The sequence below is a fragment of the Homo sapiens genome, chromosome 2, assembly GCF_000001405.40.
Source record: "Homo sapiens chromosome 2, GRCh38.p14 Primary Assembly".
NCBI classification, from domain to species: domain Eukaryota; kingdom Metazoa; phylum Chordata; class Mammalia; order Primates; family Hominidae; genus Homo; species Homo sapiens.
In genome coordinates, this window is record NC_000002.12 from 58,459,348 (window position 1) to 58,473,440 (window position 14,093).

The window sequence follows — 14,093 nt, forward strand, 5'->3', positions numbered from 1 at the left end:
AAACCATGCTCACATTATACTGGACTCTACTGTCTTCCAAATATTCTTGCCTCTTAATGATAAACAACTATATTATTTCTTCATGAATTTTTAAAAAATGTTATTTTTCCAAGCTTTTGCAAATGCCTGTTAATAACAGAGGTGTCACCTTTGAAATATTATGCTCTTTATGGCAATGAAAATAACTGCAAGCTTAATTTTTTAATTTAAAAATTTTTATGTTTCCATAAATGCAGAACATTTTGCAATTCAGAATCCTGGATCTGATTATTTCGAAAAAATGTATTGGGGCTGTTTTCCTGAAGGATACTTTACTTTTTCATGTGGTCTTTGGTTGCCAAAGTAGGTTGACAGATTCCCTCTCGTACCTTCCTATAAGAACAGCAGCAGGTGGTGGTCTTGGAAAGAGGGGATGCATATTTTTAAGCATTTTTTAAAGCCAAGTATTCTGGCAAATAATTTCTCTCTTGGCTGAATACTTGAGCCCCAGCTTTGATATGTTTGTTCTCTCTAAAAACAACAACAACAACAACAACAACAACAAAGCACACACACACACAAAAACCAGTATCCTCTAATTCCTCTATTTAAGGCTGGAAAATAGAATAGAACCTTAGTATCCTTCAATAAGAATTCTGTAATTTTCATTGCAGGTAGAGAAAAGATGGAAGGGAGTATAGCTCTTCAGAATTTGTCCTTATATGTTCTAATCTGTAGATGATGGGAATCTACAAAGCCCATCATCAGTAAATGATTATTTATTTTTGAATGAGCTGTGTTGCCAGACATAACATTTTTTTTACTATCTGTGTTTCTTTTTTTTTTCACAATAAAATTTTATATTCATCCACAAAAAAACATCTTGCAACCTTCGGAAATTGTAGAAAGAAAACAGTGGGGAGCATATCCTTGTGGAGCGACTCTGGTTGTAACTGGTGATTAGTATTTTGGTCTTTTGACTTCAACCCCATCAGCTTCCATCTTCTTCCTCTTCTCAATGATTGCACTAATCTTCCACTGGCAATCGAGCGCTGCTTTGTCATTGGTTTCCTTGAAGCGTCTGGTTTTCCGCCCTTCAGACATTTTGATACCATACTGGAATGCAGCCTTGGGCAAAGCCTCTTTGTTGTTCATATACTCGCTGTAGTCTTCCTGGGTATCAAAGTCCCAACGGCTTAAGGTTCTCTTCTTGTTACCCTGGTCCATTTTGCTATAATCCACCTCCTCATCACTATCCACAGCCATGTCATCCATCGTGGCTGGATAGCACTCTGCATAACTGTTGGACATGCCAAAGAAATCTCTCAGCTGCTTTTTGTCTTCTGCAATTTTCAGCGATTCTGTGCCTTCCCAGCCAGCAGACCCAGCAAACTTTTCATTGATGGACTTGATCAACTCCTTGGCCGACCCAGGTCCTTTGTCAACGTCCACGGACTCATCATGTACTTTTGGCTTCTCAAAGTAGCTGTGTCTCTTCTTTTCCTCTTCTCTCTCTCGGTCCTGCTCTCACTCTCGTTCCCGATCTCGTTCTCGTTCCCGATCTCGTTCTCGCTCCTGATCTCGTTCTCGCTCTCGCTCTCGGTCACGGTCTCTGTCTCCTGATCACGCTCCCGTTCCCGATATCTCTCCCGCTCCTTGTCCCAAGGTGTCTTGATTGTGGAGGGTGTATAATCCCCAATGTCTTCGAAAATACTCCTGTCAGCCTCAGCAGGTTTCTTCTCTTCCAGCTTCCCTTTATCCTTCTTCTTAAGCTTCTTGTTACGGGTTCCCTGCCTCAGGTATGAAAGCAACTGGGTAAGCTTGCTAATGACAATATCATTTGTGGTCAGTATGGTCTGGGCCTCCATGGTGGGGCAGTCAACCTTGCTGCGGATAAGAGTGGTGGGGATATCTGTGTCAGCTTACTCATCATCCAGGCCTACCACATAGGCCATGCGGCCCGGCAGGAACAACTCATTCCGCTTATATGCTTGTTCTTAAAAAGCACTCGGTAAACATTGCGGCCCAGACGTGTTTTAAATTCAATTTTATTTTCAGGATCCTCATCTTTCTTGGTTTCTTTCTGGGGCTTTTCCATCAGTTCCTCTTCCTCTTTCTCTTTGCTGGCAATCTCAGCTCGTACCTTTTGAAGCAGAGCAAAATCCAAGCCTTTCACCAAATGGGTGTGTTCCATGTCACCACCCAAGAATTTGGACTCCTGGATCAACTGTCTTCTCTTCTCTGCAGCTGATTTGTCCGCCTTAGTAGTGGGGCCAACAGCCCTGTAGTTAGCTGTGGTGTTGATAAGCTCGGTTTCTTCATAATCTTTGTTCACTCCATCTCTCCGTTCCTTGGCACGACCCCGGTACTTCTCTGCTAGCTCTCTCTCTCTCTCAATTTCTTGTTGGCGTAGCTTAGCATAATAACTTTTCTTTTTCCTCCTTCGTGCAGCTGGGTCTTCATCCTCATTGTACTCCCTTGGCATCTCATGGTGACGTGACTTAGAAGGTGGTGCAGAGGTAGGTGCAGCCCTGGGGGTCATGAGAAGTTTCCTGAAGTCTTCATTGGTGAGTTTTGATTGGTGGAAGGAGTGAGGATCATCCACATCGTGGCCATCAGGGGCCAAAGGGTTGGAGAACGGCTCACTATCTCGCTCCGGCATTTTGTTATCATTCTTCCGCTGTCATCAACAATCGAGTCTCCAACCTACTATCTGTGTTTCTTGTAGTTATATTTTTATTTGTCTGTCTTTGGATAAGATGCTGAGATCCAGTTTTCTTTTGGAAACTTAGTTGTCTGCATGGTAAGGAAAATGTGCCTGTCTTAATAGTTAATGATTAAGCTATTAATCTGGGGATATAAAAAATAAAAACCAATAAAATTTCATCAGTGATGTGGGAAGTGAAAATATCTGTTAGGTAATACAGAGATTGAACAATTTTAACTTTGTTTATTGGCCACACATTCCTTTCCTCCCTCTGACTTAGCTGATACGCTCCTTCCTTTATCTTCCCAATGAGTCGGCCACATTTATTAAGAGCCCACCATATTTTAAACGCAATGTATGTGCTGAGGGTAAATACAAAATAACCGGAAAATAAGGATAATTAGCTGGAGGAATTTATAATCTAGTTTCCTTTTTTTCCCCTTTGCTTTTCCCACTCAACCTCTTTCTTTGTTTTATTCCATTTAATTTTTCATTCCTGGGGTCTGCAAGCATTCTATATGACTGCCACATTCCCCTTTTTCTTTTATGTGCTCTTTATTTCATTCAGGAATACAGTTCAGGAATTTTCATTTGTAACTTTTTTTTAACATATGCCAGTGCTATATGACTATGCCAAATAAGTAAGATTATAAATATTTTAAGACAATTTTATAGGTGTTCATAACACTATAGGTATATGTAAAGATGTGTAAAAATTATATATGTATAAAATCCTGAAGGGCTATGGATAGCTATGTGTTTCAATAATTGAAATAAACATTTATATATACTCTATGTTAAAATGACCAAATTAAGTGGTATTACTGATTAAACATATGTAGTTGTTAATATATATTTATCCTTAGCCATTTTGATTACAGTTAATTTTAGGGACTAATTACAATAACGTTTGACAGCTTTAATTAGACCCCATCCAAAAGTGCTGGGTCAACATGGATAAATAATTCTGAAAATACTCTTGATACACTTACAAACCTATAGGAATTACTGCTAAGACTTTGTCTACACTTAGCATTTCAGCATCCTATTTTCATTTTTACCACTAAAATTCCTTAAATCTGTTTTTGGTGGTTGACGGAAGAACTAATGTTAAGTAAAATAATATATCGTTTGCAAATATTTTGAGCAGCTAATTAACAATGTTCTAGATACACCCAAACCAACGAATAAAAAATTCTCTTTCTCACTTTCTTTCTCTTATCTTTTTTTTAAAATTCATTTTTTAAAATTTTATTTTTCCATAAGTTATTGTTATTAGGGTGCAGGTTGTATTTGTTTACACGAGTAAGTTCTTTAGTGGTGATTGGTGAGCTCCTGGTGCACCAATCACCCAAGCAGTATACACTGCACCCACTGCACCATATATAGTCTTTTATCCCTTGCCTCCCTCCCACTCTTCCCCCTAAGTCCCCAAAGTCCCTTGTATCATTCCTTTTTTTTTTTTTTTGAGACGGAGTCTTGCTCTGTCGCCCAGGCTGGAGTGCAGTGGTGTGATCTCAGCTCACTGCAAGCTCTGCCTCCCAGGTTCATACATTCTCAATGCCTCAGCCTCCCGAATAGCTGGGACTACAGGTGCCTGCCACCATGCCTGACTAAGTTTTGTATTTTTAATAGAGACGGGATATCACCATGTTGGCCAGGCTGGTCTTGAACTCTTGATCTCAAATGATGCACCCACCTCGGGGTCCCAAAATGCTGGGATTACAGGTGTGAGCCACCGTGCCGGCCCATTGTATCATTCTTATGCCTTTGTGTCCTTGTATCTTAGCTTCCACATATCAGTGAAAACATACCATGTTTGGTTTTCCATTCTTGAGTTACTTCACTTAGAATAATAGTCTCCAGTCTCATCCAGGTCATTGCAAATGCTGTTAATTCATTCCTTTTTATGGTTGAGTAGTATTCTATTGTGTATGTGTGTGTGTGTGTGTGTGTGTGTGTGTGTACATATATATATATCACAGTTTCTTTATCCACTTGTTGATTGATGGGCATTTGGGTTGGTTCCACGATTTTGCAGTTGTGAATTGTGCTGTTATAAACGTGTGTGTAAGTATCTTTTTTGAATAATGACTTCTTTTCCTCTGGGTAGATACCCAGTAGTATGATTGCTGGATCAAATAGTAGTTCTACTTTTAGTCTCTTATATTCTCAGTGGAGAAGAAGCAGAAAGGATTGAAGGGGTGGGATGACGACTTTATAAACCGATAGATTCTCAAAATGCCTCCCCTTATGCATCTATACTATCTATTCAACTCAACTTAGTTATATGGCATTGTGTTAGGTCATGATGGAAGAGAGGCATTGGTCAAAAAATAAACAAAATTAATAGAAATGCAATCAAATTTGCAAGTTTACTATGGTTAAACATAAAATATAATAATTATAAAGTTATTAAAAATGAACATTCTAGATATTAGAAGACATTTGTTTAGAAATACATATTAACTAATAAATGCTATACAGTACCTCCTGCTTCGTGCAAAAGTCTACGCCATCTACCCATCAGATGAGTAGCCATACAGTTAAAATATTCTCAACCTAATCTTAAAAGGATAATGCTTAACATTAGAAAAAATCTTGAAATTGTCAAACATTAGAGGAGGGGGAAAGTGTTACACAATTTGCATTATAATTTAAAATAGAGGAAGACTTTTTTAATTTGAAAAAGAAAATATAAATTAATTTATTTTGAATATGGTTATGTTCTTCAAGTAAGCTGAAAAACAAAAACAAAGAGACAAAGCCCTAAAGCCATGAAAAGGCCCTCTTCTCATGGTGACCTTGACAAAGCAATGTTGTCTCCCAATAGTCAACAAAGGGCATAGGGAATGTCTGCGTCAGGGTTAATCTGGGTGGACAAGGCAAGGTGTTTCTTGATGGTTTCTGAATGGAAGGTAATTTTGACGAATATTCTGTTTGGTTAACCTGATCAAAGCAACAACGTGGGACTCACATTTAACAAGTTGATAAGAATAAGTTAATGTGTTGGAGCCAGCATTTGTGACACTGAAATGAAAGTGTTTGGAGAGGAGGAAATTAGAGCCATGATTAGCTAGCAAAACAAGACCAAAATAGACTATCCTGATATTGGATATATTTTTTCTCAAAAAAGTATCTTTTTATTACAAAGTAATAAATAGTCCATGCAAAAAATTTTTAATGATACAGGAGTAGTGACCTGCCTCTCAAAGGCAATCACTCTATTTTGGTATACATCATTTCAGATGTGAAAACGTATCTACAAGGTCAGAAGTATATATATACACATACATATACGCACATATACATACATATACTTTTCATATAAAGTATTTCTATGTTTTCATATTTCTATATATATTTATATATACATTCATATATATGCATTCATGTGAATGTATATGTAAATAAATCTGAAAGTATATATAAACAAACGTATAAATATATTCATATATAGTATAGTATCTAAATCAGTTTCATCTTAAAAATAGTTGTATGTATTCCATTGTCTAAATGCATCATAATTAAATTAGCCAACCGGATGTAATTTTAATTAAGTTTACATTGACTCTATTAAAAATGTGTTTTTATTAGCTTTGTCTGAATTATGATTTTGGTGATCTATGACCTCTATGTCTCCATTACCCTGATTAACTAAAAATGGACTGCATATTATTAGAAAATGTCATAGGAGGCAGCATTTAAAATTAACTTTTAAGGTAAACTAAAAATCAAAAGACCTGGATTTTATTTCTAGCTTCAAGACTTAGATATTATGTAAATTAATTAAAACAATTTCAACAGTAGCAAACATATGGCAGATCTGGGGTTACGAATTTATTCTACAGGATTGTTTTAAATTTTTAAAGGAATACAGAGACATGTTGGTTGACAGCAACTCTCACAAAACTTTTCTAGGAAGTAGAATTAAGGCTCCAGCCAGAGTGACCATGAGTTTAAACCAGAGAAACATTTTTAATGTTATATACCTTTATATTAATGGAAAAAAAGAAGAAAATTATCTTATGAGATGGTTAATAATTTTCATTTTTATTTTTCTCATTTACATTTTTTTTTTCATGTTGGCTCATGCACTAAACTAAACTGTGATTCAAGGCTTGGTATATCCTGTAACTACACAGCAATTTCCAAAACTTACTTCCTTTTTTTTTTTTTGAGACAAGAGTCTTGCTCTGTCACCCAGGCTGGCATGATCTCAGCTTACTGCAACCTTTGCCTCCCAGGTTCAAGTGATTCTCCTGCCTCAGCCTTCCGAGTAGGTGGGATTACAGGTGCCCACCACCACACCCGGCTCATTTTTGTATTTTTAGTAGAGGCAGGGTTTCACCATGTTGGCTAGGCTGGTCTCAAATTCTTGACCTCAAGTGATCCACCCACCTTGCCCTCCCAAAGTGCTGGGATTACAGGTGTAAGCCATCTTGCCCAGCCAACTTACTTCCCTTTTAAAGCATCTTCAGTATTTTTTATTCCTTTAGATTCCTTCTCTTATTGTGTATTTTTGTTAGTGTTAAGCTTTCTTATATTAATTTCGTTTCCACAGTTCAATGAATTCTGAAACATAGGTTACTTCTGGATACCCTGTCCATGGTTACAGTTTTGGATTCCATTTGTTTTCCTCTAGATGACATTGATGGATAGGTAGCCCAGTAAGCTTTTCGTATTCTGGCATTGTTTTCTCTGTAGAGATTACTATCACATTTAATTTGATAATTTTTAAATAGTTTTTATCACCTGCTATATCCTTCTCTAGCTTTCTTTATATAGTATTACAAGCATTAATATATTAATATGTATATCCTATCCATCTACCTTCATGCAAGTGTTATATGTATGTGTTTGTGTGTGCATGTGTATATATATATATACACACCTATACATATATATACTACGTGAATTATAAATGTATGCATAGATAGATGTGATTCAGTTTCACTTTCTTTGTTGTGGATGACATAATTGTGTGCTCTCCTGTGGTGATATTCAAGTTCTGGTTTCATTTAGAGGATTAGGGTTGTTTTCTTTTTTTTGTTGGTATATATTTAGGCCCTTTCCTCACTGGCAAATTACATAAGCTCAAGTTCTATAGGCAAACCAGTTTCAAGAAAACTGGGGATACTTTGTACATTTTTAAATTATGTGTTTAGAGCTTAAAAACGGGGCATAATAATTTCTAAAGTATCCCTTTTTTGTATGCTTTGATAAGTACCATGCATAATATTGGATTTTATATACATTTTAAGGCTCTGATTCATAATGTAGATTGCAATTTAATAGAAAATTTAATTTTGTTAGAAGATATACTAAATATTTGATAGATGTCCTGAAGACAAATGTTGTGTGCTAAAAAGAGAGTCATAGTTTAGCAAAGATTAAGACAGAGCTGATTTCCCTGCCTATTAGTTGTGAGCTGAGCGGATTACAGGGGAGTATCCATTCCTTCAGGGAAGTCTAACTGGTACGATGTAATTTACTTTGGATTTTCAATATCTTTTGCTTACTTCATCTCCTAAAAGGATAACTTTGAAAGTAAATTGCAAAAGCGACCATATTAGACCCTTCTGATGAAGAATTAGAAAAACAGATCAATATTAGGTGAAGTGTGTATTTTTCTAAATCAGTATTAGCATGGCAACCAAGAAGTGATTTATATGCTTAAAATACAAATTAATCATCAATAGAGTTCTTACATCATTATTTACAGTTAAAATATTCAGGAGTCATAATTTAGAAAAAAAGGTATTTTAAGCTCCCCGTGACCTGATGATCACAATATTTGGCCATTTAGCATTGCTCTTGCAAGGTGGTGTCCTGCATGTAAAATCATATGCAGATGCAAATGTTCAGATTTTACAAATTGTAATAAATCCTGTAATTATGAGGCATAGTTAATTAGCCTCCTATGAACTGAAAGGCATTGTTAAGTACCCTAAGTGTCCTTCCAACATATGGGATGCACTGTATGTAGGGTGAAAGGATTCCTCCCCGCAATAATCTTTCAGTTCTTGTCCTTTCTCCTAGGTGACAATTCCATAATGCATCTATCTACTCAGAACTGAACTGAGACCTCCTATCCATTTTGCATAGGACACTGGACAGGCATTAAAATGGAAACAATATTTTTTCCCTCTTGATGCAGAGGAGATTTAAATTGGTACCCTGGAGGTAAAAAGGGCATAGCTCATCACCCAGTGCCCAGGCTGTAGGGGATTTTTTTTAAATAGTAAGTACAAGAACATGATTTTCCTTTCTCAGTTTTTGGGAATACAGTCATTTAGAAAATATTTTATTAGTATAATTGCTTATATGAATCATAACCTTTCAAATACTCTAATTTTCATGGATCCATTTTAAACATTGATTATTTAAGTTCTGAAAAAAAGGTGTGAGTGTGTGTATGCGTGTATTTCTGGATTTATTGTAATACAATCGTGAACTTCCATATAAATAAAGTGAAGTAAAGATTTAGAGCATTCAAATCAAAGTTTTTATTACTTACGTAAATACAAGTTTTTATTACTTACAAAAGTATTTGTATCTGTTATGGCTACAAGTTTCTATTTTATTTTTCTGTAGCCTCAGTTTTCGTTAGTTGCATTTTTTTATCTCGAACTAAAAAATTCAATATTCATCTAATGCATGCACATTTGGAAGATTATTTTACAGAATCAGTCTGTAGCTACAGTTTCTGTGTCTATAGATGGACAAGTTGAACCAGACAGCCACTTCATGATTCTATGAAATTTGAGACTGAAGCTTCCTGCCTTTTTAATGATCTGAGAATGAAGGCAAATTAAAATAATTTCTTTGAAATTAAATTGCATTTTCAGAAATAATTCTAAATATTATAACACCAGATCTTCCACTTCCTAATTCTCTGACATGTACCAGCACCACTGCCTACTGTAGGTGTGTTCCTTCTGAACTTTGCTATACAGGCCTAAGACCAGCACTTAAATACTTACAAATTGAATTGCACTGTGTTAGAAACTGGCTTGATAAAATAAATTACTATATCTTGTAGGTTAAGATTTGAGTTCTGCAATTGTAGCTGTTACAAATTACCTGAAAACCTTTTTATATTGCATTTCTTAAGGCTGTATTTTACAATTGCTCTAATAAAAAATTCTATACAAAAATTGTTTGATATTAATAGCAATCATTAACAACTTGATAGATTCTTAAGTATATTTGCAATACATTTAATCTTATTAAACTCAGCCTTGAGTTGTTTCTTCCAAATATTATAGGTCTTTATGAAGCTAGCAATATAAAGAAGAGATTTCAACCATTTTCGGCCAAAAATTAGGTTTAGCTTAATGGATCAATTTTTTTCTTATTAAACTGCATCTGACCAGTGCCAAGTAATACATTCAGCATTGATCTTTGTCTCACCCTGCTGTAGCTTGCATTCTCTTTATGTACATGAAAAATAAGGTGCCAGGAATGAAAACAATGCCTGTATAATACAAATATAGAATTTTTCTCAGACTTCCATTCAGTTTATCATTTCACTTTGTTATTAATGCTTTGCCTGCTGCTTTTCAGAAATGTGTTTTTAAAAAGCACATTTATTTCCATAAAGAATGCTTTCTTCTGTTGTAATTATAAAAAACATACACCATATACTGGAGTACATCAATTGTTTCAGGGGCATGGAGAAAATATATGAGCCCCATTCACATGTGCAAACAGCCTGTTCTAAATGTGGAGCCCTCCAGGGACTTGACCCAGTAACTCCAGGGATCTGAAGCCTACTGGTTAGAACTGGGGCTTGAATTTGAAGTTGTGTTTTTCTTTCTGTAACAATAGAAAGAGAAATCAAAATGGAACCAGGTTTTAATAGATACAGAGTGTGCACCTGACAAATTTGAAGTGATGTCGGTGCTTCTGTGAACTTCTCAGTGTTTGTGACACCTATAGTCATAACAGTAGCCCCCAGACCTCTTCATACTACTCCTCTCCTGTCTTTTTTCCATCCTAATACATTCTGTATACTTCTTGGGAGAATCTTATATCATTGCCTCAACTTGGAACTTCCACTTTGCTTTAAAGTTTTATTGGCTCTTTATTGCCTTAAAAGGCAGAATTGAACCACCACACCTGGGCACTTAAGACTCTGGGGAATTGGGTTTTAACCCGACTTGTTGCCCTTGCCTTACACTTTCCCTACACAAATCTTTGAATTACTATGTTTCCAAATACACCTTGTGCATTTCTTTGCTCACACTTTTCCCCTTGTTAAAATGCCCTTTAATTCTCCCTTCCCCTTTTCCACCTGTCCAGTTTCTATCAGTCCTTCAAGTTCCAATTTCGTATGTCACCATTGCTTCAAAATGTTAGCTCCTCACTCTGCACAAACTGGGTTTTAAATGAAAAAGTAAGCTTTGGAGTCTAACAAATTTGGTTGGAATACAAAACAGACAAGCTGCATGACCTTGGTCAATTTAGTTAACTCTAATTTAGTAACTTCATTTACTCCAACTTTGAAAGTGGCAATTTTAATATTAATTCTGTATTGTTGTGAGAATTAAATGTATTTATATAATAATCTTGGCAAATGGTTGGCATCTGATAAATAATAATAGTTTTCTTTCTTCTCCCCTGAGGTCCTGTAGTCTGGACCATTTATTTGGTACACACTGTTGACATGTTGCAATAATTTTTTTTATTTATCTGTAGTTACCATCTCATCAACTGATTTTTAAGGTTCCTTTTCCATGGTGATGGTGCCATATATTACTTTGTATCTGTCATAATGTAAAGCACAGATTCATGCATACTAGACATGATTTGATTAACTTGTTATATTTTTTCTCAACAATAAAGAAAAATAGTATCTTTCTTCTCCATTGTCTTTCCACATATTGTCCCTTGTCAACATCAGGAGTCAGTCTCGGAATTCTTATAATTTGTTTTAGATTTTTCTTTTAATTAGTCTCTTTTAAAAAGGGAATGATACTTGATGGATGCCTAGAGCCCCTAAAGAGTGACAACTAATATGAGACAAGGGCAAGTGTCTTTCCGTTTGAACCATGTGGCTTCATTCTGTTTTGCCAGCAGTGAAATGGTGATTTGATTTCAAGTCCTAGATAAGGCATCTTGGATTGGAACATAGTTGTAATGTGGGACACACTCTTGTCTCTCTGATTGGTGATGGGAGGTGATAATCCGTAGAAGGCTTGTATTTTCTGGGCTTGGAAACTGTGGGGTATATAAAGCTATAACCTTTCCCATGATGAGATGGCAGTGCTTTGTATCAGCATCTCAGGTACTCTCAAGAATATAGGAAATCGACTTGGGCAATTCTTTGTAACAGCTTCATGAGTTACAGCAGTTAAAAGTATGTTTTTTGGGAAATATATGTCTTAAAGTTGGGCTTCTTAGTGGTTATAACTTATATAAATACCAGAGGCATACACCATTCATAATTCCATCCAAGGCAACCAAGGTGCGAACATGTTTTCTTTGTAGACACATGAATGCAAACATACCATAAATACATGTACACATGCATACCACTAGAGTAGCATCGAAAATGAAATATGCGGCCGGGCACGGTGGGTCACGCCTGTAATCCCAGCACTTTGGGAGGCCAAGGTGAGTGGATTACCTGAGGTCAGGAGTTCGAGACCAGCCTGGCTAACACGGTGAAATCCCGCCTCTATTAAAAATACAAAAAATTAGCCGGGCGTGGTGGCGGACACCTGTAATCCCAGCTGCTCAGGAGGCTGAGGCAGGAGAATCCCTTGAACCCGGGAGGCAGAGGTTGCAGTGAGCCGAGATCATGCCACTGCACTCCAGCCTGGGCAACAGAAGCAAAACTCCATCTCCAAAAAAAAAAAAAAAAAAAAAAAGAAAGAAATACGCAACTCCATGTGTGTGAAATATCATCAAACTGCATGTTTAGCTAAAGGTTCCATCCTAAGTCTTTGAGTGATCAGTATAGTCCTAAAAGTATCCTAAAATGAGTATATGTCATGGATTAAAGGCAAACCAAAACACACACAAAAAGGGTATGATTTTTGGAGTAATATATACCATAAAAAACAATGTTAATATTGAATATGTATGAGTTTCGTCATAAGTGCTCCTTAGTCTTTCCTAACTCCGAAATAAATTTTAATTTTTAAAAAGGAAAGTATATAAAACCTGCCTTTTTAAAATTTAAGAATAAAAGAAAAAAGTTAAACTATTACAATGCAATTCATATTTTTATACTACATTTTAGGTTTCAGTTTTGCAGTAAACACAAATGAGAAAAATGTTTTTAAGGCTAGTAAGGGAAAACATCTTATGTCTTCATGACATTTTGCCAGGGAAAAATTGTATACATTAAAATTTCAAATAACTGGCATTCAGTTAATTGGCATTCTTGATTAATTTTCATTAAAAGTAAAAATAACACCTGTATTTATTTTTAAAATTTAAATTGTACAGAAGGGACAAAAATGAAAAGTAAAAGTTTCTCTCCACTCGCCACTGGAAATCACTTAGGTCATTTATTTTACCTGCCCTCTTTCTTTCCCTTCTGCGCTCCTGCTATCTCTCTCTTTTTCTGTCTCCCTCCCGTTTTGTTCTATTCAATTGTATTGTGAGGTGGTAAAATTATTTATTTTCTAACTTATCAATCTTAGGCTACTCATATGATGGCCTACTGTGAAGGGCACATCCATTTTACACCATCACCACCTTCCATATCCTCCAACTTTTCTGCATTCTGATTTGTGTTAAGTTTTATAACATATACATTCTACTCTGTAGCCATAGTGAAGCCTTCCTCTACTTTTAAAAACCACAGGACAATTCTACACATTTTAACCCAGTAAAACAGTATTATGTTGTGTAAATGTTATTCAATGAAGAGCCAAGCATTTTGGTTGGACTTTGGCAAAGTAAAGATAATACTATCTCACTAAACTTCCAACTGCTGCAAAAGGAATTCCAAACTTCCAGGTTCAGTGGAAATATATATTTAAAATTCAGAAGTCTTTTTTTTTTAATTTCCAGAATGTGTGTCTATTTATTTATTTATTTATTTATTTATTTTCAAAGGCAGCCTATTCTTTTTAATGGATACCAAATTCTTTCAAATTCTTTCTGAAGATACTAGTTATAATTTTAAAAGCTTTCCTTGCTGAATGATATCTTTTCGGCATTAACTCTTCTGTTCTATGAATTCTTCTAGGCTCTTTTCTTTTGTGCTCTTGGTGTCTCTCAAATATGATCTTGGAGCTGTGTTTTCTGCGTAGCTGTGTAGGTAAGCAGCAGCGGGTGGAGTGTTTGCCAGGTTTTTCTGGAGGAGGTGTGTGTGAGGAGCAGGCAGACACCCTGGGAACCCCCACAACTGGCGAATAAGAATATTTATTTTGGCCTTGGAGCACTT

At 35.9% G+C, this 14,093-nt stretch overlaps 1 pseudogene; it reads right to left on the minus strand.

Moving 5' to 3' along the window:
• LOC644456 (IK cytokine, down-regulator of HLA II pseudogene) lies at nt 823-2,685 on the minus strand (annotated as a pseudogene).